The following is a 24,982-nucleotide window of genomic DNA, read 5'->3' on the forward strand; positions in this document are numbered from 1 at the left end:
GGTGGGCGCCTGTAATCCCAGCTACTCAGGAGGCTGAGGGAGAATCACTTGAATCCGGGAGGCAGAGATCACAGTGTGCCGAGATCGTGCCACTGCACTCCAGCCTAGGTGAAAGAGCAAGACTCTGTTTCAAAAAAAAAAAAAAAAAAAAATCGGCCAGGAACAGTGGCTCACGCCTATAATCCCAGCACTTTGGGAGGCCGAGGCAGGCAGATCACCTGAGTTCGGGAGTTCAAAACCAGCCTGGCCAACATGATGAAGCCCCGTCTCTACTAAAAATCCAAAAAAAAAAAAAAAAAAAAAATTAGCTGGGCATAGTGGTGCATGCCTGTAATCCCAGCTACTGGGGAGGCTGAGGCAGGAGAATCAGTTGAACCCAGGAACAGTGAGCTGAGATTGTGCTGCTGCACTCCAGCCTGGGCACCAGAGCAAGACTCAGTGTCAAAAATCAATAAATAGGCCGGGCATGGTGGCTCATGCCTATAATCCCAACACTTTGAGAGGCCAAGGTGGGCGGATCACCTGAGGTCAGGAGTTTGAGACCAGCCTGGCCAACATGGCAAAACCCCACCTCTACTAAAAATATAAAAGTTAGCCAGATGTGGTGGCGCACAACTGTAATCCCAGCTACTCGGGAGGCTGAGGCAGGAGAATCACTTGAACCCGGGAAGTGGAGGTTGCAGTGAGCCAAGATCGCGCCATTGCACTCCAGCCTAGGCGATAAGAGTGAAAGTCTGTCTCAAAAATAAATAAGTAAATATACAGAAAAAAATTAGCTGGGCATGGTGGCAGCACGTGTAATCCCAGCTACTGGGGAGGCTGAGGCAGGAGAACCAAACTGCAGCCTGGTCAACAGAGCAAGACTCTGTCTCAAAAAAAAGAAGTTACAGAAAGCTGATTATTGGCTGGGCACAGTGGCTCATGCCTGTAATCCCAGCACTTTGGGAGGCAGAGGCGAGTGGATTGCTTGAGGCCAGGAGTTCGAGACCAGGCTGGACAACAGTGAGACCTTCATCTCTACCAAAAAAAAAAAAAAAAAAAAATCTTAGCCAGGTATGGTGGTACACACCTGTGGTCCCAGCTGCTCAAGAGGCTGAGGCAGGAAGATTGCTTGAGCCCTGGAGGTTGAGGCTACAGTTAGCCATGATTGTACCGCTGCAGTCCAGCCTAGGCAATAGTGCAAGACTCTGTCTCAAAAGAAAAGTAGAAATTTATTTCTCAATGAAAAAATGTGTTTCTATTATGTAACTTTTAGATTTAATTTTATTTGGTTGGCTGGAATTACAAATATAATCAGGAGTTGACACAAAGTAATGAGGGCCTAAAATTTGAGAGTTGTCATAGGAATAGAAGGAAGGGAGAAGGGTAAGACACAAAGCAGAGATTGAATAAATAGGATTTAGCATCTTACTGGATGTGAGAGTTTAGGGCAAGAAAGTCATTAAAAGTTGTATAATGAAGGTTTTAATGGAGAGAAACATGACAGACATGTTGATTTTGAGACAATGAGAAAACCACCTCTTTTTTAAAATCTTCAGACACATACCTGTGGCCACTCATTTCCTAACTGCCAACCCTACTTCACTCAATATTATGACTTGTACTTTTAGGGGACGTATAAGAATCTTGAAAAAAGAAGAAAGGATTCAAACTAGGGTTTGCTAACTCCAGCCTTTCCCACTGCACCAAGAAACTACCATGTCACATCATTATATATGATATGTATATGGTATTTTGTTTAGAATTTTTTTTTAGATAGGGTCTTGCTTTGCTGCCCAGGCTGGACTCAAACTCCTGGGCTCAAGTGATCCTCCTGCCTTAGCCTCCTGAGTTGCTGGGATTACAGGCACCAGCTGCTGCACCCAGCTTATATGGTATTTTTATCCAAGAAATCTAGTCATCTTACAAATAACCTTATTCCTAAACATCCCAAAGTGCTTTGGATGTTTACAGTTTTGGTTATAAAATTCATTTGTGGCACGATGCAACATTAACCCCAAGGACAAGGAATATCTACCAAATGATAACTTTCTCCATATGCACAGGGCAAATATGTCATGTGTAATATTAACCAATACATTTTTGCAGGTATTAAAGGTTTGATACACTCAGCATGGACAAGCCATACCAATAGAAAAAAACCACTTTCTATGCTTTAATTCAAAAGGTAATTAGACTATCTTACTTAGTTATCTGTGTGTCATTAGGACCTGAATCATACTGAAAATTAGTGGTTAGTTTATAGTTTCTGAGAATGTATGATCATTACATTGAAATACAATCTCTCTCATGTATACATTTTTCTATCATCATGTGTGAAGCCAGTGACTATGAAATTTTTCATGATCATTTCTTATTTCCTTTTAGATTTTATGTTTACAATAAAAAGAAACGTCTTGTCAACACACCTTACGTGGATAACTCCTATAAATGGGCTGGTGGTGGATTTCTGTCTACAGTGGGTGACCTTCTGAAATTTGGGAATGCAATGCTTTATGGTTACCAAGTTGGGCTGTTTAAGAACTCAAATGAAAATCTTTTACCTGGATACCTCAAACCAGAAACAATGGTTATGATGTGGACCCCAGTCCCTAACACAGAGATGTCTTGGGATAAAGAGGGTAAATATGCAATGGCGTGGGGTGTTGTGGAAAGGAAACAAACGTATGGTTCGTGTAGAAAGCAACGGCATTATGCTTCACATACTGGAGGGGCAGTGGGTGCCAGTAGTGTCCTGCTGGTCCTTCCTGAAGAACTGGATACAGAGACTATAAATAACAAGGTTCCCCCAAGAGGAATCATTGTTTCTATCATATGTAACATGCAATCTGTTGGCCTCAATAGCACCGCTTTGAAGATTGCCCTTGAATTTGATAAAGACAGATCAGACTGATAACCTTAACACCATAGGTGCAAAATGAGTTGTTCTGAGGTTTTTTTGAAACATTAAAGTTCCAAAACATGACATTTTTAAGAATAAATTTGAAATAGAGTATAACTGAATGCAGAGAATTATGTACCTCTAATTGCTTAATTTTGTAATGGTCTTTTATTGTAGAATTGGTTCTTTATACTCAGGGAAGTAATTATATTGTTTTTACTTTTTGAAAAAAGTGTTAACTCTTGAAATAAAATATTCTGATAAAATATGTACTTTCTGCATGTGTAATACAGAGAAAATCTCATTCAACAGGAGCCTCCAAATATCCGAGGTTTTTTTTCTTTTCTTTTTTTTTTTTTTTTTTTTTTGAAATGGACTCTTGCTGTGTTACCCAGCCTGGAGTGCAGTGGTGTGATCTTGGCTCACCACAACCTCTGCTTCCTGAGTTCAAGCGATTCTCCTGCCTCAGCCTCCCAAGTAGCTGGGATTACAGGCACCCACCACCATGCCCAGCCACTTTTTGAATTTTTAATAGAGACAGCATTTCGCCATGTTGGCCAGGCTGGTCTCGAACTCTTGATCTCAGGTGATCCATCCGCCTCAGCCTGCCAAAGTGCTGGGGATTACAGGCGTGAGACACTGTGCCCAGCCCAAATATCCTTTTAATATGAGAGCAGAAACAAAAGCATGAGAAATGGTATATTAGTTATCCACTACAGCTTAAAAGAAACGTTCAGAGAAGGAATCGGGAAATCAGGAGCAATATAGTCACGTGGGTCTGGCGCGGTCTCTAATGAGGTTGCAGACAAGGTGTTATGATCATCTGAAGAATTCTCCAGGGCTGGAGGAAATGCTTCCACATGGCTTACTTGCATGACTGCTGGCAAGAGTCAGTTCTCTGGCTGGTGGGTGGCAAGGGGACTCAGTTTGTCACCACATGGACCTCTCTGTAGGGCTGCTTGAGTATCTTATGGTAGTTGGCTTCCCGCAGAGTAAGTGATGAGACAGAGAGTGCCAGGCAGAAGTCACTCTTTTATAAACTAGCCTCAAGTCACATACCATCACATTTGCCAAATTCCATGGGTTACATGGGGCCTAATAAATGTTGAAGAGATTATATACATTGTGAATATTAGGAGGCAGGAATCACTGGGTGTCAACTTGGAAGTTGGGTACCACAGTCTGACCTCTGGTCCCCAATGATTTATGTCCTTCCCAATGCAAAATACTCTTACCTCCTTTCAAATCCTCCAGAAGTTTCACCTTAATATAGCATCAGCTCAAAGCCCAGTATCTTATCATCTAAATCAGGTCAGGTGCAAGTGTGAATGAGGGCTCCTTGGGATGAGTTCCTTAGGTACAGCAACTCAAGTAGTTTCTCTTAAGACCTGTGAACTGTAGTTATTTGCTCCCCATATGTGTAACATACCGTAGCACAGCAGATATAGGATAATTGCTAGATACCGTCCTCTTCAAAAAGTAGGGAAGTGGAAGACATACAGGAGACTGGCAATTCTGAAATTCAGTCAGACAGAGGTTGGCAACTCTGATTAGTATTCAAGGCTTCAGAATAATTCTTAGTTCTTGGCTATGTTCTCTGGGCTCTTAGTTCTACCTTACGAGTTATACTTTTTCTTTTTTTTAAGAGACAGCTGTTCACCATATTTCCCAGGCTGGTCTTCAACTACTGGGCTCAAGTGATCCACCCACCTCAGCCTCCCAAAGTGCTGGGATTATAGGCATGAGCCACCGCACCCAGCCCCTGAGTTATACTTTTTTTAATTGTTCTTTTTTACTTTTTTTTTTTTTTTTTTGAGACAGGGTTTCCCTCTGTCACCCAGGCTGGAGTACAGTGGCACAATCTCGGCTCACTGCAGCCTTAGCCTCCTGGGTTCAAGCAATTCTCCCACCTCAGCCTCTCGAGTAGCTGGGATTACAGGTGCGTGCCACCACTCCCGACTAATTTTTGTATTTTTAGTAGAGACAGCGTTTCACCATGTTGGCCAGGCTGGTCTCGAACTCCTGACCTCAGGTGATCCGCCCCCCTCGGCCTCCCAAAGTGCTGGGATTACAGGCGTGAGCCACTAAGCCTGGCCGCTTCCCCATACCTTTTTTTCATGAAAGGTAGCGTATCTTTCTAGCTGAGTGGTTTTCTCAGTGTGCTTTCCACTTGTAGAAGTTTGGAGACCCAAAGGCCTTTTTATACTCTCTTTCCTTTCCATCTAAGTTAACAGTGGTTCTGCCAATATAATATTTTATTTCTCTAATTTTTGAATTTTTTTTAGCAACCCTATTAACTGACAATATAATATTTTAAAATGTTAAGAGTATCCTGTGAATTTTATTGGGGTTTATGCCAGTAGACAAAAGCCACCCCAAAGTCCCTTCAGAATATCCCCTCTCTAACTTGGGGCTTGTCTCTGCCAAGATAATGGGAAGAACTAATTACGCTAATAATCTAATGAACTCTATTGTTTAAATAGTTCTCTGAAGCACCATGTTGATTCATTTTGAAGTCTTGAGAAAGGATTGTATAGTCATGCCCTCAATATCATCTTTAGACTATGTTTTCCTGGAAGTGCCCTCAATTATTATCTTTGCCTTGAAGCCATTTCTTAATTTTGGCATCATTTGCAATCTGAAGAGTCTGGGAATTTTTTAAACCATCAATTATTAATTCTTTACCAATAGTTCTTCCATTAGCTTATCTTTCTCTTGCATGTTAGTATAAGCAACAAGAATTAAGGAAGCACATTCAACACTGTGTATGGCTCTCTGCTCCTTCTCTTGCCCTGTGACATCCGGGCTCCCCCTTCTCTTTCCGCCATGGTTGTAAGCTTCCTGAGGCCCTCACCAGAAGCACATGCCAGCACCATGCTTCCTGTCCAGCCTGCAGAACCGTGAGCCAAATAAACCTCTTTTTATAAATTACCCAGCCTCAAAACAAAAAAACAAAAAACAACAACAAAAAAAAAAAAACACTGCATATGGAAATCCCATCAGCTAGTCACCCAATTCATTAGGCACATTTTCTGTTTTCTGAGTTACTCCTGGCGACAGTGTTGCTAAATTTTCTGTCAGTACTAAACAAGAATCCCTTCCTCTAATTGCCAATAAGATTTCTCTTACTTTCCTTAAGACTACACCTGCAGCCTCTTCAAAGGCCATACTTCTCAACAATTTCTTCAAGGCTCTTCAGGTTTTCATTAACACTTTCCTTAAAGTCCTTCCAACTTCCATCCGCTGCTCTGTTCCAAATACATACACACATACACACACACACGTAATTTAGATATAATTCACAGTCCATATGCCATAAAATTCTTTAACGTGTACAATTCAGTGGTTTTTAGTATAGTCACGAGATTATGTACCCATTACCACTATCCAATTCATTTTCACCCCAAGAAGAAACCTCATACCCATTAGCATTTGCTCCCCATTCCTCTGTCCTTCCAGCCCCTGGTAACCAGCAATCTACTTTCTATCTCTTTGGATTTGCCTGTTACGGATGTTTCATATAAATGGAATCACACCATATCTGGCCTTCTGTGTCTTGAGCTTTTTCCTGTAGTATAATGTGTATTAGTTATCTATTACTGCATAACAAATTACCCCAAAGCTTATTGTCTCACAGTTTGTGTTTCAGAAATTTGGGGGCAGCTTTGCTGGGTGTTTCTAGCTCAGGGTCTCATGAGTTTGTAGACAAGATGTCAGCAGGGGCTTCAGGCATCTGAGGGAAGGCTTGACTGGGGCTGGATAATCTGATTCCAAAATGATTCACCCACGTGGCCATGGGCAAGAGGTCTTTGTGGCTTGCTGGCTTTGGGCAAGAGTTTTCAGTTTCTCACCACATGGCCCTCTCCATAGGTCTGCTTGTCTGTGCTATGGCTTCCCTTTAGAGCAGGCGATTGAAGAAACAGGGAAACACCTCAATGTCTTTTATAAATCAGCCTTGGAAGCCATATGCCATCACTTATGCCAAATTCTGTTGGTTACAGAAACCAACCCTGATTTGGTGTGGGAGAGGACTGTAGAAAGGAGTGGATACCAGAAGGTTGGGATCATTGGGAGCCATTTTGGAGGCTGCAGTGTTAACGTATTGGGGAATTTTGTTCTAACAGCCACAGATCATGTGTACTAGAGATTACCAGTGTGCCACTGAACTCAGGAAAATTCAAAAAGAAATCAAAGTTTTTATACACCCTAATAAAGGAAGGGCTTTTCTATAATTCTGAGCCCTAAATCTGTTTCTTCCCTTAACACTTTATACAAGTAAATAGATGGATATCTCTGAGTTGGTTGAAGTAGAAAGAGAGCAGCTCTCTAAAACAGATCCATTTCATCTCCTTATTTCTTTCTGACTTCTGATCTCTAGGTCCTGTATTCATGTTTGTCAAGTTTTCAATCCGTGCCCTTAGATAAACATAAAAATGTCATGCCTTTCTTTAATGTTATTTTAACATTAAATGTTTAATGTTTCTTTAATGTTAGTGTTTTATGTTATTTGGAATTTATTTATTTTTTAGAAACAGAATCTTGCTCTGGCACCCAGGCTAGAGTGCAGTGACATGATCGTAACTCACTGTAACCTGGGCTCAAGTGATCCGCCCACCTTGGCCTTCCAAAGTGCTGGGATTACAGGCATGAACCACCATGCCTGGGCCCCCATTTGGAATTTTCTTTTATTTTTATTTATTTATTTATTTAGAGATAGGGTCTCACTCTGTCACCCAGGCTGGAATGCAGTGGTACAATCATGGTTCACTGCAGCCTTGACCTTCCAGCCTCAGGTGATCTTCCCACCTCAGCTTCCTGAGTAGCTAGAAATGCAGGTGCACTCCACTATGCCTGGATAATTTTTTGTAGAGTAGGGGTTTCACAATATTGTCCAGGCTGATCTTGAACTCCTGGACTCAAGCAATCCTCCTGCCTCAGCCTCTCAAAGTGCTGGGATTACAGGCATGAGCTACCGTGCCCGACCACCAATTCTTTGATGGCCACGATTTCCTCTCATTCCATTGTGCATGCAACTTTGCAATGTGATTTTGCTGCTTTTTCCATCCAAAGGTGGAGCTCTTTCTCCACTCTCTTGAATCTGGTCTTGCTTTATGATTTGCTTTTTGACCCACTGAATGTGGTGGAAATAATGTTGCACAAGTCCCACTGCATAGGCTTTAAGTGGCTTTCAAGCTTTTGTCTGCCACCTTCTAAGAACACTACCCCAAGATTGCCATGTAAAGAAGCCAGACTAGCTTACTGAAGGATGGGGGACCATGTGGAGGGGAACAGAGATGCCCCAGCTGACAGCTAGCACCAGCTGCCAGACCTATGATTTGAGCCTCCAGGTGAAGGTGGCTGTGTAAGTGAACCTAGATGAGACCAACAGAGTAAGCAGCCAACTCATATACTCATGAGAAATAGTAATAAGTCAACATTTTAAGCTATTAGATTTGGGGGTGACTTGTTTTGTAGCAAAAGTTAACATATCTATGCTCCAGTGTGGTGGTAAGGTGGGTAAATCACTTTAGGGAAAAAATGGAACATTAAAGTACTTGATGTTGAATAGACATGACTGCTTTCCACTTAAAAAAAAATACCACACAAACTATTTTTTTTTTTTTAAGACACAGTTTCGCTCTTGTTGCCCAAGCTGGAGTACAATGGCGCGTTCTCGGCTCACTGCAACCTCCACCTCCCAGGTTCAAGTGATTCTCCTGCTTCAGCCTCCTGAGTAGCTGGAACTACCGGCACATGCCACGCCCGGCTAATTTTCGTATTTTTAGTACAGACGGGGTTTCATCGTATTGGTCAGGCTGGTCTCAAACTCCTGACCTCAGTTGATCCACCCGCCTTGACCTCCCAAAATGCTGAGATTACAGACGTGAGCCATCGCGCCTGGCCCACACAAACTATTAACAGAGCACTTACTGTGGGGAAGGCATTTTGCTAAGCTCTTTGTATATGCTATCTCATTATACCTTCAACATAACTCTATTAAGTAGAAATATTATTATTTTTTCACAAGGTCACAAACCATTAACTAGCACTTGTTTCAAACCCACACATATCTGACTCTAAAGCCTGTTTTAACCATTATCGTGACTTCCCATAAAAAGCATCTCTAGGCCAACGCAGTAGCTCACACCTGTATTCCCAACGCTCTGGAAGGCTGAGATGGGCGGACCACTTGAGCCCAGAAGTTGAGACCAGCCTGGGCAACATGGTGAAACCCTGTCTCTACAAAAAATACAAAAATAAACCAGGTATGGTGGCATGGGCCTGTAGTCCCAGCTACTTGGGAGAATGAGGCGGGAGGATCACTTGAGCCCAGGAGGCAGAGGTTGCAGTGAGGCGAGATCGCATCGCTGCACTCTCTAGCTTGGGCAACAAAGCAAGACTCTGTCTAAAAAAAAAAAAAAGGCATCTCTAAAAATTTACCAATCCAATAAAAGTCATATTTAATGGCATGCAATTTTATTGATGCAGTCTTCAGTTTAAAAGTTTGTCACATAAAAATGAATAAAAATAAATATGTTGGTATTTTAATTAGTTGGCTACAAATAAAGAAAAAACACAACTTCAAATTAATACAAAGACAAGATAAAGAACATAGAGTCATAATCTTACACAACCCCTCTGTTCTAAATACATAGCATGATATATAAAATGTGTAATGAGAAAATTAAAAAGACTTTCATAGACACAAAACACTGAGCAGGGCTGAAGCTGAGGGTCTGCCGGGCTCTGGTTCAAAAGGCTGTGGCAGCTCCAATTTCTGTTCCTATAGAATAACTGAAACTAACACTGCTTCCCTAAGATTTAAAATGAAAGCTTATTAACTAAATTAGGACTATTCTGCCTAAATTCTTTGAAAGGTGAAGTTTTGCTAGGTGTGAAAGTGAGAGTAGCCCTAGTAGTGTAGGGGGAAAGCGAGCCAGAATCAGTAGGACACAAATCAGCAGAGAAAATTTGCAATTCTGGCATCTCCTTTGAAACAAAATTCAAAGGCTATTTAAGTGTCGATCAATAGCAAACACCATGACCTGATGTCATTTCTTTTTTTTTTTTTTTTTTTTTTTTCTGAGACAGTCTTGCTCTGTCGCCCAGGCTGGAGTGCAGTGGTACGATCTGGGCTCACTGCAAGCTCCGCCTCCCAGGTTCAAGCAATTCTCCTGCCTCAGCCTCCCGAGTAGCTGGGACTACAGGCGCCCGACACCACGCCCAGCTAATTTTTGTATTTTTAGCAGAGACGCGGTTTCATCATGTTGGCCAGGATGGTCTCAATCTCGACCTCGTGATCCGCCGCCTGGGCCTCCCAAAGTGTTGGGATTACAGGCGTGAGCCACCGCGCCCGGCCCCTGATGTCATTTTCTATGCCTATAGTTGTGAAAAAGTAGCTGTAAAATCCTAAAAGAATACAAGGTCATTATTCTATAAAAGTTATCCTTTTCTTTGTAAAATGCAATAATGTACTCTATTCCTTCCAAAGATTTAAGTTTTTTTCCATGGAAAATTACGAAGACATGAGAGGCCGAGGCAGGCGGATCACGAGGTCAGCAGATCGAGACCATCCTGGCTAACACGGTGAAACCCCATCTCTACTAAAAATACTTTAAAAAAATTAGCCCGGCGTGGTGGCACACGCCTGTAGTCTCAGGTACTCTGGAGGCTGAGGCAGGAGAATGGCGTGAACCCAGGAGGAGGAGCTTGCGGTGAACTGAGATTGCGCCACTGCACTTCAGCCTGGGCGACGGAGCAAGACTCCGTCTCAAAAAAAAAAAAAAAAAAGAAAGAAAAAGAAAAAAGAGAATTACAAAGACATAATTTAAGAATCTCAGTTTCCAAATATGGGGTAGAATTTTACAACTTTATATTCTGTGGTAGCAGAATAATGGCCCTCTAAAGATTCCCACACCCTAATCCCCAGAACCTACGAATATGTTACCTTACATAGCAAAATGGATTTTGCAGATGTCATTAAGAATACTTTATTTGGCCGGATGCAGTGGCTCACACCTGTAATGCCAGCACTTTGGGAGGCTGAGGTGGGCGGATGGCCTGAGGCAAGGAGTTCAAGACCAGCCTGGGCAACATGGCGAAACCCCATCTCTACAAAAAATACAAAAAATTAGCGGGGTGTGGTGGCACGTGCCTGTAGTTCCAGCTACTCGGGAGGCTGAGGCCAGAGGGTCACTCAAGCCTGGGAGGTGGAGGAGGTTGCAGTGAGCTGAGATCACGCCACTGCACTCCACCTAGGGAACAGAGCAAGACTCCATCTCAAAAATAAATAAATAAAAAGTGAAAACACTCTAAGTATCTATCAACTGATGAATGGATAAACATTGTATATTATTACACAGAATATTGTCAAAAAAAGGAATGAAATATTGATACATGCAACAGCATGGACAGCCCTTGAAAACATTATGCTAAGTGAAACATACAGAAGCTACATACCATGTGATTCCATTTATACGAAATAGCATTATATGAAATATTGAGAAGAAGCAAATCCATGGAGACAAAAGTAGCTTAGTGGCTGCCAATGGCTGAGAGGAGGGAAGAATAGGGAGTGAATGCTGATAGGTATGAAGTTTCTTTCTAAGGTGATGAAAATGGTCTGGGATTAGACAGTAGTAATGGTTGCACAACCTTGTAAATATAGTAAAAACTACTGACTTTTACATCACAGAAGTTTGGATTTTATAGTATCTGAATCATATCTCCAGAAAAATAAAACAGAAAGGAATTAGAGCTTTATCAGATGACTTACAGGAACGACCAGACACAAAACCATTTGTCATCTCATCAGGCCAGAAGCCAAGAATTTCATTTTATTTTTAGCTTATTTATTTTTTTCTTGAGCTGGAGTCTTGCTCTGTCACCCAGGCTGGAGTGCAGAGGCGTGATCTTGGCTCACTGCAAGCTCCGCCTCCCAGGTTCACGCCATTCTCCTGCCTCAGCCTCCCAAGTAGCTGGGACTACAGGCGCCCACCACCATGCCCGGCTAATTTTTTGTATTTTTAGTAGAGACGGGGTTACACCGTGTTAGCCAGGGTGGTCTCGATCTCCTGACCTCGTGATCCACCCGCCTCGGCCTCCCAAAGTGCTGGGATTATAGGCGTGAGCCACTGCGCCCGGCCTATTTTTAGCTATCTTTATGTAACTGGTTTTTCCATTTAGGAAGCCTTCCCCTAAAAATAAATTTATATTAAGTTTATGGAAGGTTTCCTTTACAAATATATTTACATTAAAATATGAAGTCAATATAAATAATATTTAAAACATTCAGTATATAATAATGTATGTGGCTGACCCTGAAGTTTGGGAAAGTCCTGGTGTCCTATTCAGCACTTTTCAAAACCAGTAATACCATCTAGATTAATAATAAAGTAAAACTTAATACACCATTCGTTTCCCAATGCCATGTAAATCCTTAGATGTGTTCTTTCTTTGAGACACAGCTTCACGCTGTCACCCAGGCTGAAGTGCAGTGGTGCGATTTTGGCTCACTGCAACCTCTGCCTCCTGGTTTCAAGCAATTCTTGTGCCTCAGCCTCCCAAGTAGCTGGGACTACAGGTGTACACCACCACGCCCAGCTAATTTTTGTATGTTTAGTAGAGACGGGGTTTCACTGTGTTGGCCAGGCTGGTCTCGAACTCCTGACTGCAAGTGATCTGCCTGCCTCAGCCTCCCAAACTGCTGGGATTATAGGTGTGAGCCACCGCGCCCAGCCCTTAGATGTGGTCTTTAAAGTATAATCCTTTTTTAAAAAATACTTCCAAGGGAATTTTCAGGGTTTGTTAGATTAGTCCTCATCATAGGTTTGATTCCTTCTCATCAAAAGCTGTCATCCCACTGTCTCTCCTTATAGCCAAGTATCCTAAACTGTGCAAGCTGAAGTGCCTTGGAGTACCTCAGGAAAAACACTTGACACTGACGCATCTTTTGTATAAACTACTAGTTCCAGGAAGTTCAGTTTCAATATGATATGGCACTACATTCCCTTTGATGGCATCCTATCCTTGTGAAGCTGGGTTTGGAGCCACTGCTATGACAAAAAGCACCATGCAAAAATCAATGTGGAAGAAATAAGGACAATGGTGTCCAATCTGATTTCAATTTTGAGAAACTGTATGGAGCCCAAAAGGCACACACATTCCATTAGTAACTGTGATGATTTAAGGATGAGATAAAAATTATCACATCAGGCTGGGCACAGTGGCTCACACCTGTAATCCCAGCACTTTGGTAGGCCAAGGCAGATCACCTGAGGCCAGGAGTTCCTTACAGCCTGGGCAACACAGCCAGAGCCCCATCTCTACAAAAAAATTAGGCGGGCGTGGTGGCACGTGCCTGAAGTCTCCGCTACTCAGGAGGCAGAGGTGGGAGGCTTGCTTGAGCCCAGGAGTTTGAGGTCACAATGAGCTATGACCCTCCAACCTGGGCAATAGAGCCAAGACACTGTCTCTATTTTTAAAAAAATCATCACATCACTTTTGCTCTTGTGTGTGTATAGTTTTTTTCAAATGGCTACTAGAGTTGTTAGAACATAAGTTAATAAATGTAACTGTTAGGTATTTCTTTTGGCCAAGGAATGGCCTGAAAAAAATTACTGAGATTCTAATGATGTCAGAAACTAAAAGTCTGAGAATCTCTGGGTCATCTACATATATATGTATATATATATATTTTTTTTTTCTTTTTTTTTTTGAGACGGAGTTTCGTGCTTGTTGCCCAGGCTAGAGTGCAATGGCACGATCTTGGCTCACCACAACCTCCACCTCCCAGGTTCAAGCGAATTCTCCTGCCTCAGCCTCCCGAGTTAGCTGAGATTACAGGCATGCACCACCACGCCCAGCTAATTTTGCATTTTTAGTAGAGACGGGGTTTTTCCATGTTGGTCAGGCTGGTCTTGAACTCCCGACCTCAGGTGATCCACCTGCCTCAGGCTCCCAAAGTGCTGGGATTACAGGTGTGAGCCACTGCGCCCAGCCTTCCTTATACAACTATATACACCCCAAACTTGCCATCATTCTTTAGTTCTTGTGCAACAGTTCTCTGATTTAAGCAGTATGTAAGAGGATCAGTTGCTCACATTAGAGGCCTACCTGTTGATAGGAAATGCCTGTTTTAAATACCTGCCACAAGGTAACAAATCAAATAGAAGCAGAGTAGAAACTGGACTATCTTCCTAGTCCAATGAGGAGTTGTATAGTGAGTGGATACACTCCCCGTCTCAGCTCCCCAGGATTACTTCATAAACTATGAAAATGACAATGAGGCAGGCACCAGAACCACTCAACACACATCTGTAGTCAGGAGTGCTCACCTATCTGGGCCAGAGAATTCAACACCATCTACTATCCCCAACCAGGACTTCTGCGGGTAAATCATGCCACTTCAGATTTCTCCTCAAATTTTCTACCCTAAAAAGGAGCTTCCAATAAATAACTCACACCCCAGCTAGCAGTTACTGTCCTAAATTATATAGTAGTATAGCAAGGCCACATAAATCCAAGGCATTACACTGTGATCAATATGTATTTTTTTGAAACTATTCTTTTTAATTATAGTTTAAGTTCTGGGGTACACGTGCAGGACGTGCAAAATATGTACTTCTTTAAGATGTTTCCACAGGTACAACAGCAGAACTACATTTAGAATTCACAAATAATAGACTTTACATCTGTAATCCTTTAATCCCATTCATAGCAATTTGGAAAAGGAATGAAAATAAAATATTTAGGGTTTCTACTCTTGAAAATGAGACACAAATTAGCCAGGCATGGTGGTGTGTGCCTATAATCCCAGCTACTTGGGAGGACAAGGCAAGAGAATTGCTTGGACCTGGGAGGCGGAGGTTGCAGTGAGCCGAGATCGCACCACTGCACTCCAGCTTGAGTGACAGAGCAGGACTCTCTCTCTCAAAAAAAAAAAAAAAGACACAAACTAATCAGAATAAATTTTAAAATGTTTAAACCAAATTCATATACACCATATATATAAATGTATGGCATACTCAAATATATTTTAAAAAAAGAAAAAGAGGGGATTTGCCCATAATCAAAACTTTATTGAAAAACTGACACCAAAATAGGAGATTACTGCTGTATACCTTACAAAACCAAATGTAATTACATTATCTTGGTAAATTAATTAGAATTATGGAATTTATGATAAGGCTTTCTGTGAGACAACACAAAATTAAAATTCAGGAAGCTGTTTGAATCATTAGTGTTGCTTTCTTCTAAATGAACACCCTGCAAAAGAATCATGAGAGTATATTAAACAAGTGCATTCTACCTTTGCTATAATTTTAATGACAAAAAGTACTTTTAAGTAAAATACTGAAGTTTTAAGAATATTGGATTAATACTCATATACAGATTATTTATCCTTTTATACCAGAAATTTGCTATAATACATCTATCATATCTGAGTTTACTCTGGTATGACTATAAGTGTCACTCCTGTTTCTCAAATGCTATAATGAAGTCTACTTAAGACCATGAGCCTGAATTCAACAGTGAAGACTGTTTCAAGCAAGCTGTCAGAAGATATACTCTTAATTTTTAGGAACTATTCTGAATACTTTTCTCAAGTAAATAATTTTGATTAGAGGTATTTTCAGACCTATTAGGAAAACTCTAGAACAGATAGACCCATTAAACCATCTGTCAGCATATGGGCACTAAATTCCAAAATCATGACATGACATACTTTGTTTCAAAAATCTCCCAAGTATACTTAGCAATATTACTTAGCAATATTACTCTTAAAAAAATCATGTGCTGACTCCATATTTAGATCTCACCAGGTCACACCAAATAGATCTCAGATTTGCTGCCAATCCACTTGAACTCTTCCAGTGAGAGCATGGAACTTACAGCTCCCCAAAATATCACAAGCAAATTTATAACATCATTATGGAATCACAAATTTACAAGTATTACTATGGAAACTATATATATAATTTTTTTTTCTTATTGCACTAAAGTGAAAGAGGAATTAAAATTAGGTTTTTATATTAATCATTGCAGTTGCTCATAAAAGTAAAATCTCTGGCATTTTAACTTATATATTAGCTATCTGTTGCTTAGCTGGCAATGATAAAAAAAAAACTATTATATGTACTAAATATATATGGAACAAAATTTTGTAAAAGAAATTTTAAAATTCTATATGGTTTTAAAAATCTGTATGTCCTGGCCGGCGAGGTGGCTCATGCCTGTAATCCCAGCACTTTGGGAGGCCGAGGCGGGCAGACCATGAGGTCAGGAGATCAAGACCATCCTGGCTAACACAGTGAAACCCCACCTCTACTAAAAATACAAAAAATTAGCCAGGCATGGTGGCACGCGCCTGTGGTCCCAGCTACTTGGGAGGCAGAGGCAAGAGAATCACTTGAACCGGGGAGGCAGAAGTTGCAGTGAGCTGAGATGGCGCCACTGCACTCCAGCCTGGGTGACAGAGCGAGACTCCTAATAAAAAAAAAAAATAATAAATAAATAAATAAATAAATCTGCATGTCCTATAACATGTAGTTATTCTTTTGCTTCTATTCTGACTTAATTTATTCCAAGTTAAGCAAACTAAGTGAATAAATGTGTTCTAAACTAAGAAAAATAAGTCAATGGAGTTCACTGCAAGGTCAAGAGTATAAATATATCCATTTGAACAGGCCATTCTTTACTGAAAGCACACAATGAAAGATAAGTTATTTTGGTAATCATTAAGATTTCTTTAAACTTTTCAGTGAAGATAGAGACATTTATAATCATCAATCTCATCACTGGGTTGGAGAATGCCAAATGATATACCTTCTGTGAGTCTGGCCTTTCCTCCTGTAGGCTGGCACAACACTGTTGAACAACCTACACAAAGAACCACTGTCTGAGCATGGCTGAAAACCGTGGTGATCTTGTAGCAACCTAAAAAAAAAAAAAGGCAATGTTAAAAATGAAAAGCAGAGGAAAACAGCACCTGTTCGACATTTCTGGTAATATGTAAAAAAATCAGTAACTTCAGTGCTATGAAACAGCAAGCCACATGTGTAACATAAACTTTTCTAGCAGCGACACAAAATTTTTTAAAAACAGGTAAAATCAATAATATATTTCATTAAACTTAATATTTCCAAAATATCATTTCAACATGTAATCAATGTATTTTTTTTCTGTGCTACATCGTCAAAATCCAGTGAGTATTTTACAATTAAAGAACATCTCTATTTTGAGTATCCACATTTTGATTATCCACAAGTGCTCAGTAGCCACATTCAGCTAATGGCCATTGTATTGGGCAGCACAGCTTTAGACTGAAGAATCAACAGACTTTTCTTTGTATCATGAAACAGAAAACTCATCGTCTGAAGAGCTTAAAGACTTGCTAAGTCAAATGGCATATCTCCTTTGAATGCCTGTTTTCACTTACCCCGAAATGTTTCTACAATGGTTTCAGTACATTTATTATGAAAATGTCCCTGACATTTCCAATTCTGTAATCCCACTTCTACTCAACAGAGGGTTCTAATGTATCTTAACTATACACACCACACTAGCAATCCCTACAGAAATTTTCTTTAGTAAAGGAATTAAGATTTCAAATTTTACCTGGACATTTTACATCCATAAAGTAAGAATTTGGACTTTGTACTAGGCGTTTCTTTTTATGTTTTTTCTTTTCCTCTTCCAAGGACGGATGTAGTAAATCTCTAGCCAACTGAACAAAGAAGCATATTATTACTATTAGTTTTAAACCACAACGCTGGCACATTTAACCATACGTGAAATATACATGCAAAAACAGGAATAACGGTCATCCTCGGCAGAAGCAACACGTCAGATAGTAAAGTTATTTTTCGAAACCTGTTAATAACTTTCATCAGTACTTTTCATAATACTTGTGTTCTCCAAGTCCCTAGAAAAGGGCTTTCGCACGATCAGGAAACATATGGTAAGGCAAACTTTGTCCTTCTTTACTCAACTGCGTAATGAACTGTCTTCGATGAAAACTGCGCGAAGTCGAGGTGCTAAGCAAAGAAAGTGACCCCGACTGTGGACTCGCTTAGAGTAGAAACTGCTGAAGTAGACCAGACAACGTCAGCGCCTGGGTGATTTTTGCTCCTGTGGCTCAACAGCTGATCTGACAGGAATTCTTGCTGAGCGACCGTCCTTGACGGAATTAATATATAAGGCAACAACGAGGACAGTTTTTAAAAAAGGAAAACAAGTAGGAAATCGCTTCCGAAAGAAGGCAGAGGGGGCGAGAAACACCAATCACTGGGAAAGCCAAAAGACCCAAAGATCACAACCTCAGGGGCATCCTCAAAGACCAAGACCGCTCATAAGCTACACAGAGAACTGTTCCCCTCCCAGCCACCGCCTCTGAATTGCAGCCCACGCCCCTGCAGGGCCAGCCGCGCCGCGGTGACCGGGCAAGTCACTACATGCCCGCCACGCGCGAAGACGCTGCGCAACCTGAGCCGCCTCGCCACTCTCGGACACTACAGGCCCGAGAGGCAGCCGGACTCATCCGTCCCATATGACTCTCGGTAAAGAAGCCCAAAACAAACCCGGAGCCCGATGTAAACAACTCACAGGCATGTTGATCCTCTTGCAAGCTCAGCCCTACCAGACCTCCCAGCCCACACAGCTAGCAAGCTGCAAGCGATCTGCGCTCGGCATCAACTTCCGGGATAGAAGCTGCTGGGAGGAGCGGCGGGGCGGGCTTGTCTGCTCTAGGCCCTCCTCTCGGTGGTAGGGGGACGCCGCAGCAGGGTACTCGGGTCCAGGGCGCAGGGAAGACCCGGGGATGGTGAGCGTTCCAGGGTGCCAAGTCCCGTGGGTCTAACGGGCTTGTTGGCGAGCGCCGCGGGCTCTGCAGTGCCTGAGGCCAGAATCTGGCTGGGGAGCGGCCTCGGGCTTAGGCCATGGCGAGGGAGCGCCCGCGGCCACCGGGGCCGGCGCCACCCCGGAACCCGGCGGGCCGCTCAGCCCCCGGCCCCCTGGCCCGGCCGCTCTCGGTTAGCTCTGGGGGTGGGCACACGGGGCAATGCCACTATTCTCTTCTTTTGTGTATTAAAAAATACAGTATTATTAACCATTAATACGTGCCAGAGAGATTATGAAAGAGGCTCGTATCCTTTTGGCTTCCCTTTTCAAGGCGCAGATTTCGAAGTTTTCTGCGGGGTATGGCTGTGCCTTAGGTTTGCTTTGTTCTGAAAAAAAGTTTTTAAAACAGCACGGATTCGCTGCTGTGCCTCATTCACTAAGAGGCCCCACCCCTTCCGAGGATTACTCGTCCTTTGCAGAGTGGACAACTAGGGGGCCTGAGAAAGGCGAATGTCACCGATGACCGAACATGAGTCTTTATCATTATTATTATTTGAGACAAGGTCTCGCTTTTTTGCCCAGGCTGGAATGCAATGGTGCCATCACAGCTCACTGCAGCCTCGACCTCCTGGGCTCAAGCGATTCTCCCGCCTCAGCCTCCCGAGTAGCTGGGACCACAGGAACACGCCATTATTCTTTTTTTTTTTTTTTTTTTCCTTGGAGACAGGGTCCTGCTATATTGCCCAGGCTTGTCTCCAATTCCTAGGCTCAAGAAGTCCTTCCACCTCAGCCTCCCAAGTAGTTGGGACTACCGGCGCGTGACAGCATGCTCTATTTTTGAGGAGGAAACTCTATGCTTGAAAAATGGGTGTCATGGGCGACCAAAAGGCAAGAAACCAGAAAGACACTTTACCAGAAAATTGGTCTAACTGGATTTTTTTTTTTTTTTTTTTTTTTTTTGGCAGAGTCTTGCTCTGTCACCCAGGCTGGAGTACAGTGGCGCGATCTTGGCTCACTGCAACCTCCGCCTCCTGGGTTCACGCGATTCTCCTGCCTCAATCCTCCCAAGTACCTGAGATTACAGGTGTCCATCACCATGTCCGGCTACTTTTTGTGTTTTTAGTAGAGACGGGGGATGGTGGGGGGGGGGTTCACTATGTTGGCCAAGCTGGTCTCGAACTCCTGACCTCAAGTGATCTGCCCGCCTTGGCCTCCCAAAGTGTTGGGATTACAGGCGTGAGCCACCGCGTCCCGCCCTGACTTGATGTTCTTAATCACCTTATTTGTCTTTGCAAAAAGGATACATGTATAATATACATTTTGGGAAATGCAGAAAAATAGAAGAAAATTTACCATCTGTAAATAAACATTTTTAACTTTTGACCTATATCCTTCCCAATATTTTTTACTCTCTTGGATATAGGTTTATTTTGGGTTTTGACTTAACCTAATTGGGATCATCTTGTGCATAATCTTTTGTAGACTTGAATTTTCCTCCCACTTACTATAAAATGAGCATCACTCCATGTCACTACATATTCTTTTTTTTTTTTAAATAAGGTCTCACTGTGTTGCCCAGGCTGGAGTGCAGTGGCACAATCTTGGCTCACTGCAGCCTCGACCTCCTGGGCTCAAGCAATTGTCCCCCCTCAGCCTCCTGAGTAGTTGGGACTGCAGGTACAAGCCACCACGCCTGGCTAATTTTTGTAATGTTTGTAGAGATGGGGTTTCGCCATGTTGCCCAGGCTGGAATATTCTACATTATGCTTCTTAATGGGCATATAGCATTTGTCCTGTGACTATATATATTTTCACTTCAGCCATACACTAAATTGGGCATTAGGTTTGGGTTTTTAAATATTTGATACTTAAAAATTAATAAAAATTGGTGAATATTAAATATTTAATGTATATAAGTATATAGAATAATACAATTGTATACACAGAATAGTGGCCCCCAAAGACATCAGTGGCCTAATCCTCAGAACCTTTAGTTACATGGCAAGTGGAATAAAGGTTGCTGATTAGCTGATTTAATCTAGAAGGAGTATCCTGGATTATCTGTGTAGGCCCAGTGGAATCACAAGGGTTCTTGAAAGTGGAAGAGGAAGACAGAAGAGCGAGAAGGAGATGTGGTAATGGAAGGTCTGAGAGGTGCTATGTTGATGGCTTGTAGATGGAAGAGGGCCATGAGCCAAGGAATGTGGGCAGCGTCTAGAAGCTGGAAAAGGCAAGGAAATGGACTCCCTCCTGGATCTCCCAAAGAGGGACACAGCCCTGCCAACATCTCAACTTTAGCCCAATAAGACCTGGCTCAGACTTCTGTCCAGAACTGTAAGATAATAAATTTGTCTTGTTGCCTGTAATTTCAGCACTTTGGGAGGCCAAGGTGGGCAGATCATCTGGGGTCAGGAGTTCGAGATCAGCCTGGCCAACATGGTGAAACTGCGTCTCTACTAAAAATACAAAAATTAGCCGGGCGTGGTGGCACACACCTGTAGACACCAGCTACTTGGGAGGCTGAGGCAGGGGAATTGCTTGAACCTGGGAGGCAGAGGTTGCAGTGAGCGGAGATGGCGCCAATGCACTCCAGCCTGGGCAACAGAGCGAGACTCTGTCTCAATAAATAAATAAATAAATAAATAAATAAATAAATAAATACATTTATGTTGTTTTAAGCCATTACATTTATGGTAATTGATTACAGCAACAATAGAAAATTAATGCAATAAATGAAGATCCATGTACCCACTACCTAGCTCTGTCAAAGCTTAACATTCAGTACTCCCTCCCAGCAACTTTTCATTATTAACGCTACAATAAACATTTTTATAGATACGTTTTTGTGTTTGTCCTCATTCCCTTAGGATAAATTCCTGGAGGAGGAATTGCTGAGTCAAAAGTTATGCACATTTTAAGGTTTGTAATATAAACTGCCAAATTACCCTCCAGAAAAGCGAAACCAATTTATTTTCCAGATATAAATGTATGTGAATGTCCCTTTCTTTGCACCCTTGATAATACTGGATATTTTGTTTTTCCCTATCTCAATCCAGAAGAACTATTGTTTTGAACTAATACTTTGTCATATTTCATTGTTGTTGTAATTAATATTTTCCATATGCTTATTGGCCATTAGCATTTTTCTACTTTTGTTTTCTTGTGTTTTTGAAACAGGGTCTTGCTCTATTGCCCAGGCTGGAGTGCAGCATCAAACTCCCAGCCTCAAGCAATCCTCCTGCCTCTGCCTCTCAGAATGCTGGGATTACACTGTGACACACTGTGCCCTGCCTAATTTTATTTTTTGATAATTTGTTTTAATCATGCAGAAGTTTTTAATGTTATATATTCACACACACACATACATATTTCAAATTTATTGCTTTTTTCCCTTTTGCTATTGTGTTTAGAGAGGACTTGGTCACTGTAGGATTAACTGAATATTTGCCGTTGCTTTCTTCTAATTCTCTTGTGATATTTATTCTTTAACTTTTTAATTAAGTTGGAATTTATTTTGGCACTTCATGTATCATAGGTCTCAGAACAATTTCTGATTATTAGGCCTAGTTATGGCTTCAGTTCTTGTTAACTAATGCCCGGTGTAGTGTCAAAATCCTCCAGCCTCTCAGACACTCACAGGCAGCCTGAGAAATAAAATTTTCCAGGTCAAGAAGACCTGGACTCTAATTACAACTCTGCCTCCTCCTCCAAAGCTCAGTTTCTCCTAAAATGTTTTCAGGCCCCTGCACTGATGGCAGATGGAGGGCCCTGGAGTCCCTTTACACTTGGCACCCTGCTCTCAGGGATCCTGCAGAAGGAGCTCCCACCTGGCTTTCCAAAGAACTGTAGAGCACCAGTCAAAATCCTATTTACTGCCCTGAGAACTTTCCATCCATTCTAGCTGGCCAGGTCTAAGTAGGTGCCACTGAAACCTTCCATTTGGCACTGGCTCCCTTCACCTCAGAAGGGTGTGGGGGCCATCTCTACTCCCATCTCCCTTTACCAAATTCTTTTTTTTTTTAGATGGAATTCCAGGCTGGAGTGTAGTGGTCCCGATCTCGGCTCACTGAAACATCTGCCTCCTGGGTTCAAGTGATTCTTGTGCCTCAGCCTCCCAAGTAGCTGGGACTACAGGTGCACGCATCATGCCCAGCTAATTTTTGTACTTTTAGTAGAGACGAGGTTTCACCATGTTGGCCAGGCTGGTCTCAAACTCCTGACCTCAGGTGATCCGCCCACTTCGGCCTCCCAAAGTGCTGGGATTACAGGTGTGAGCCACTGCGCCCAGCCTCCCTTTACCAACTTCTAGTGCTGATAAAACACATAGGTGTTCGGACAGGCTAAGCCGGGAACCCAACTAGTGCTAAATTTCAGGCCCCAAGTGCTGCTCTAAATAAATCAGATCCCCAGCTTTCCCCTGGACTGAAGTTTTTCAATGCCTATGCCCTTTTCCCAGAAAGATGATCAAGGGTTTAGTTTAGTTTTGCTTTTAAGAAATTCAGGCCAGGCGCAGTGGCTCATGCCTATAATCCCAGCACTCTGGGAGGCCGAGGCGGATGGATGATTTGAGGTCAGGAGTTCAAGACCAGCTTGGCCAACATGGTGAGACCCCATCTTTACTAAAAATACAAAAATTAGCCAGACATCAAGGTGTGTGCCTGTAATCCCAGCTACTCAGGAGGCTGAGGTAGAAGAATCATTTGAACCCGGGAGGCGGAGGTTTCAGTGAGCTGAGATCGCGACACTGCACTCCAGCCTGGGCAACAGAATGAGACTCCGTCTCAAAAAAAAAAAAAAAAAAAAAAATTTAGAGTTTGAGGTGGAGGTCCTAAAGATAACTTTTCTTTTTCTGAGTCAAGGTCTCACTCTGTTGCCCACACTGGAGTGCAGTGGTGTGAAACAGCTCACTGTCGCCTTCACATCCTGGGCTCAAGCAATCTCATCAGCCTCCAGAGTAGCTGGGACCATAGATGTGTACCACCACACCTGACTTATTTTTTAAAAATTTTGTAGAGACGGGGTTTTGCCATGTTGCCCAGACTGAAGATAACTTTTCTTTTTTTTTTTTTTTTTGAGATGGAGTCTCACTCCGTCGCCCAGGCTGGAGTGCAGTGACATGATCTCAGCTCACTGCAACCTCCACCTCCCAGGTTCAAGCAATTCTCCTGCCTCAGCCTCCCCAGTAGCTGGGACTACGGGCATATGCCACCACGCCCAAGCTAATTTTTATATTTTTAGTAGAGACGGGGTTTCACCATGTTGGCCAGGCTGGTCTCGAACGCCTGACCTCAGGTGGTCCACCCACCTTGGCCTCCCAAAGTGTTGGGATTACAGGCGTGAGCCACCGCGCCCGGCCTAAAGATAACTTTTCATACCCTTTCTAAGTATTTTTCTGAGACACTTCGAGAAATCTGTGTCATCAGGAAACTATAACAAGACTGCATTCTTTTTTCTCTTCCATTGTCCACCTATTGGCAGTTATTAAAGTGCTTGTGGCTCATTCTCAACACACTCCTGAAATCAGCAGCAACTTCTGCAAGTGTGTGTCTTTTCTGCCTACCAGTTCTCCAACAGGACCACACCCATGGCCCCCAAAGTGCCAACTGTAGAGTTGCCATCTATCTGTTATTCATGAGGATGCTTCATGAAACTCTCTTCAGTCATCCCTTCTGAGTGGCCATCTGTGATCTGCCAAGACCCTGACACGAGGATCCCCTGTCAGGATGTGGTCCTCTTTTAGCCTAGAAGGCGTTGCAGTTGGGGTCCATCTGCTCCTCAGTCATCAATCAAACCAAATCACCGCAGAAACATCCTTTGTCCCTGCCTGTGGGACCATTCAGTTTTAACAGGCTGCGGCTCCTCCTGTTCTATGCTTGAAATGGATATGGGAATCTTAAAGGAGACAGCCTGTAGTCCTAGCCATGTAGATCCTTGCCACTTTGTGGACCAGCCACCTACAAACTTTTTGGAAATAGAGACTCTCAGGCGCCACCCCTGAACTACTGAGTCAGAATCTGCATTTTAACAATGGTGATCCTTGTGCACATCCCTGTGTGAGAAGCACTGGCCTAGATATATCACACTGCCATTCTCTCTGGAGTCTTCCTACCTCCCCGCTGGGGCCGTCAGGAAGCCAGAACCCAGGTTTCTGCTACTCCAGGGTAACAAATCAAGGATTTTTCTCTATATTGGAACAGGAAAGCACTCCTCTTTCACTGCTTCTCCAAGATACTCTATTCATTCCAGCAAATCTCATTCTCT

General features: G+C 42.5%; 2 protein-coding genes across 2 annotated transcripts in view, besides 6 other annotated features; one reads left to right on the forward strand and one right to left on the reverse strand.

Annotated features, from left to right (window-relative positions):
• LACTB (lactamase beta) overlaps nt 1–3,149 on the forward strand; it is a 20,201-nt gene extending 17,052 nt beyond the window's left edge. The window contains exon 6 of the mRNA NM_032857.5: nt 2,368–3,149. Within this exon, the coding sequence (NP_116246.2) occupies nt 2,368–2,893 (526 nt within the window). The 3' untranslated portion in view covers nt 2,894–3,149. The remainder of the gene's footprint in view (nt 1–2,367) is intronic.
• Nucleotides 9,337–18,565, reverse strand: RPS27L (ribosomal protein S27 like). The gene is made up of 4 exons (NM_015920.4): nt 18,488–18,565; nt 17,501–17,609; nt 16,709–16,819; nt 9,337–15,148 (listed from the first exon to the last, which is right to left on the reverse strand). Exons 1-4 carry the CDS (start codon nt 18,491–18,493, stop codon nt 15,120–15,122), a joined length of 255 nt encoding a protein of 84 aa, NP_057004.1. The 5' UTR covers nt 18,494–18,565; the 3' UTR covers nt 9,337–15,119.
• Nucleotides 17,305–18,504: an enhancer, noted in NCBI's record as "MED14-independent group 3 enhancer chr15:63448416-63449615 (GRCh37/hg19 assembly coordinates)". NCBI's record gives its function as "activates an origin of replication core promoter dependent on BRD2, BRD4, P300/CBP and CDK7 cofactors, and independent of MED14, by STARR-seq in HCT116 cells {active_cell/tissue: HCT116}" and the evidence as "EXISTENCE:reporter gene assay evidence [ECO:0000049][PMID:35650434]".
• Nucleotides 17,305–18,688: a biological region, named in NCBI's record as "MED14-independent group 3 enhancer GRCh37_chr15:63448416-63449615".
• Nucleotides 17,789–17,878: an enhancer, noted in NCBI's record as "active region_9525". NCBI's record gives its function as "activates an Ori minimal core promoter by ATAC-STARR-seq in GM12878 lymphoblastoid cells {active_cell/tissue: GM12878}" and the evidence as "EXISTENCE:reporter gene assay evidence [ECO:0000049][PMID:35858748]".
• Nucleotides 18,029–18,688: an enhancer, noted in NCBI's record as "active region_9526". NCBI's record gives its function as "activates an Ori minimal core promoter by ATAC-STARR-seq in GM12878 lymphoblastoid cells {active_cell/tissue: GM12878}" and the evidence as "EXISTENCE:reporter gene assay evidence [ECO:0000049][PMID:35858748]".
• Nucleotides 18,084–18,657: an enhancer, noted in NCBI's record as "H3K27ac hESC enhancer chr15:63449195-63449768 (GRCh37/hg19 assembly coordinates)". NCBI's record gives its function as "activates a minimal SCP1, AML or CMV promoter by ChIP-STARR-seq in naive and primed H9 embryonic stem cells {active_cell/tissue: H9 hESC(naive and primed)}" and the evidence as "EXISTENCE:reporter gene assay evidence [ECO:0000049][PMID:30033119]".
• Nucleotides 18,839–18,938: a silencer, noted in NCBI's record as "silent region_6511". NCBI's record gives its function as "represses an Ori minimal core promoter by ATAC-STARR-seq in GM12878 lymphoblastoid cells {active_cell/tissue: GM12878}" and the evidence as "EXISTENCE:reporter gene assay evidence [ECO:0000049][PMID:35858748]".

This window comes from Homo sapiens, chromosome 15, assembly GCF_000001405.40.
Source record: "Homo sapiens chromosome 15, GRCh38.p14 Primary Assembly".
Taxonomy (NCBI): Eukaryota; Metazoa; Chordata; class Mammalia; order Primates; family Hominidae; genus Homo; species Homo sapiens.